This window comes from Homo sapiens, chromosome X (genome assembly GCF_000001405.40).
Source record: "Homo sapiens chromosome X, GRCh38.p14 Primary Assembly".
Lineage (NCBI taxonomy): Eukaryota > Metazoa > Chordata > Mammalia > Primates > Hominidae > Homo > Homo sapiens.
Genome location: NC_000023.11, coordinates 43,479,961 through 43,482,852, shown reverse-complemented (window position 1 = coordinate 43,482,852; position 2,892 = coordinate 43,479,961). Strand labels below are relative to the sequence as shown.

General features: G+C 36.6%; 1 annotated feature.

Annotated features, from left to right (window-relative positions):
* Nucleotides 1,106-1,306: a silencer, noted in NCBI's record as "peak7376 fragment used in MPRA reporter construct". NCBI's record gives its function as "represses an SCP1 promoter by STARR-seq MPRAs in K562 erythroleukemia cells {active_cell/tissue: K562}" and the evidence as "EXISTENCE:reporter gene assay evidence [ECO:0000049][PMID:32103011]".

Sequence of the window (2,892 nt, the reverse complement as noted above, 5' to 3'; positions counted from 1 at the left end):
ACAGTAGTTCTTAAACTGATCAACCTGTTTCTAATATTTATTTATACCAATTCTACATGTCTTCTAAATTATCTTGTCTAAAACACTTCCCTAAGAAATGAAGCCACTGCTTTTCTTAAAAATGTTGAATGATCAGATTATATCCAAACTTCTTTTTTTGATGTTTAAGGCCTTCTAGTAAAATGAAAAGCATCTCATCCTTTTATTTTTCCTTCCATTGGACCAAGGGAGGAGAAAGAGAAGGAAATCACATTGACACCTTTTCTCTTTCCATTTGAGGGATCTGCCTCCTGGAACAGTAGCCCTTTTGTGTATAATCTAGGTCAGACAGTGGAGAAGTACACAGCTGACAGTCAAAACTCATGATAACAGGTATATATTTGATAAAGATATAGTCTGTATAAATCACAGTACCTAGAACAAAACGATTTACATAATAGTTCTATAAAAATATTTCTTGGCTTAGCAAGACATAAATTTAAGACCTTAAAAATATATAAAAACATGGATCATATCTTTTTCCCCTTAAGCAATGAATTAAACCAATCATGTATTTCTCCTTATAAGCAATCAATTAGGCCTTATTATCACTGACATTTTCTGTTGCAAATCAAGCTATGGCTATCTCAAATTGGGAAAGCTGTTGTTGACTTAACATTGTTCCTCAGTCTCAAAAACTGAGATTTAACATAAAATATTTGGGCAGAAAGATTGGAAGGAAAAACAAAACTGCTCCTAGGGAAATATTACTTGCTGTGTCCAATCTTGATAAAAAAAATAAAAAGAAGGTGGTTTTCCTAGCATTTCAGTTGTCACTTTTGTTTGTCAATAAATGTGTTTGAATTTTCTCAGGTTATGAAACAACCAGTGGCAATAGCAGGGGTGGCAGAGGCGTAAGCTGCTTGATTATCTTAGCACTGACCTGTAAGCAGCCCCCTCTGGGGTGAAATGCAATTGAGTCTTTCTATTAAGTTCAGTCCTGAGTGCCTCTGCAGTAGTCTCGGTTATCAGGCTCAGAACACATTGAGTTAAGTAAGAAGGCGTGGGGTGGATAATAGCTTTGTGACGCAGATGGCTATCAGCAAGATACTAAGCTGAAAATTACTTCTCTGGGGCTGCCGAGGATGGGAAATCAGGGTGAAAGTTGAGGCTGAGCTGCAAGATTTGGTTTTCTATCCTCTGCAATGGCCTTGCTCTGTGGGTTAAAGGCCACTGCTGTACTCATGAATATACACTATTTCTGGCTGCCATAATTGACTAGCTACACTTTGCAGCTGGCTTAACAAGCCTAAGAGCTACTATTCAAGGCCGGAGGAGCAGTACAGAATAGCATTTCCATAGATGCTTTGAATTATCTTTGGCCATGTGGAAACTGAGTGAACTCAACAGCAGAAAAACACTCTTCACATTATATGGACTAAATTTTGAACTACTATCATACCAGCATTGTCTCCATGTTAGTTATATAACTTTATATTTGACAAGAAAAAAAAAACCTCAACATTTCATCTTTCTTTAGTTTGCCTTTATCTTCATTTATATATATATATGCAGATGGTTTTATCTTTGTGATGGAAATGGATTCAACATCTGACATGGTATGGCGTCAGGCTAAGACCTGAACTCTGGAGTGAACTGCTTGGTGTTGAATCCTAGCTTTATCTCTCACTAACTGTGTAACCCTGGATAAATTACTTTACCTCTCTTGCCTTAGTATCTTCATCTGTAAAATAGGCATAATAAAATGACCACCCTCATATGGTTGTTATAGTACTAAAGAGGTTAATAAATATAAAGCACTTACATAGAGTTTACCATAATCTAGACCTTGTTCTAACTTTTAGTCATAGTATTAGCTGAAATGACACAAGAACTGCAGTGGACAAGTATACAATGTAAAGCTTAGAATTTAAGCTGAGGTCATTTTTTCACCCTTGCTCTCAAGCTATTTCTGAAAGGCTTTCCTTTGTATTTGGTTACACACAAATGTAATTTTTCTCTTAGGTCTGTAATTGTGTTGTCTTACTTAGCTGACTAGAAGCTCTTGAAGTGGAGATTTTATTTCCCCCTTCACTTCCTCTATAAATAAGGAGCAGCTAGCACAAACAATGTGTATTTGTAAGTATTACTTTTAGCAAGTCTATTTTTCACCAAATAAAGGCTTCATGTGCAGCCTCTATACCTTGTTGCTGTGAGTGCAGAGCAGGATCTATTAGCTCCTTAAAAATATGATATTATGTGACATACTCTAAAGAATACCAGTTACCATTTATTGAGTGGCTACAATCTGTAGGGCTCTGTATAAAAACTTTACATAGCTTGTCTTCTGGAACTTGCAAATTCTCTGTAAAGTGGATGGTATTATCTTCACTTTAGATATGGGGAAATAGAAGCTCGGAAGGATGAAGGTACTTAACAAGGTCACACCTCTCTGTCACTCAGGCCCGCTTGATTTTAAAGCTTATGGGTTTGTTTACCATATCACACTGCAGTTCTTCCTGTTTTTGTCTCACGCCTGTCTTCACTTTATATTCTATTTATTGATTTTTTTCCTCCTTCTTGTCTTGTGTTGTTTTGATGATAGTTTTCAACAGGCACAAAGATCAGAGTTAAATGATGCTACTTCATTTTAGTTCAGGAGACTCAGCCCCAAGATCTTCCCTGTGGTAACTGAATAAAATCGTTGTCAACCTTTGATTAAACATTTCTACAAATCACATCATGGTCACTAACAAAGCTTTTTTATTCCCACTGAAACACTCTGTTAACGGGGAGTTAACTAACTGAAACCCCCACTGTGCTCAGAGGACAGTCACAATGATGGGACTTTTAACAACAGACAAAAAAAACCCATAGGCTTCTCTATCTGGATTATCACAAAGGGGAAAGATC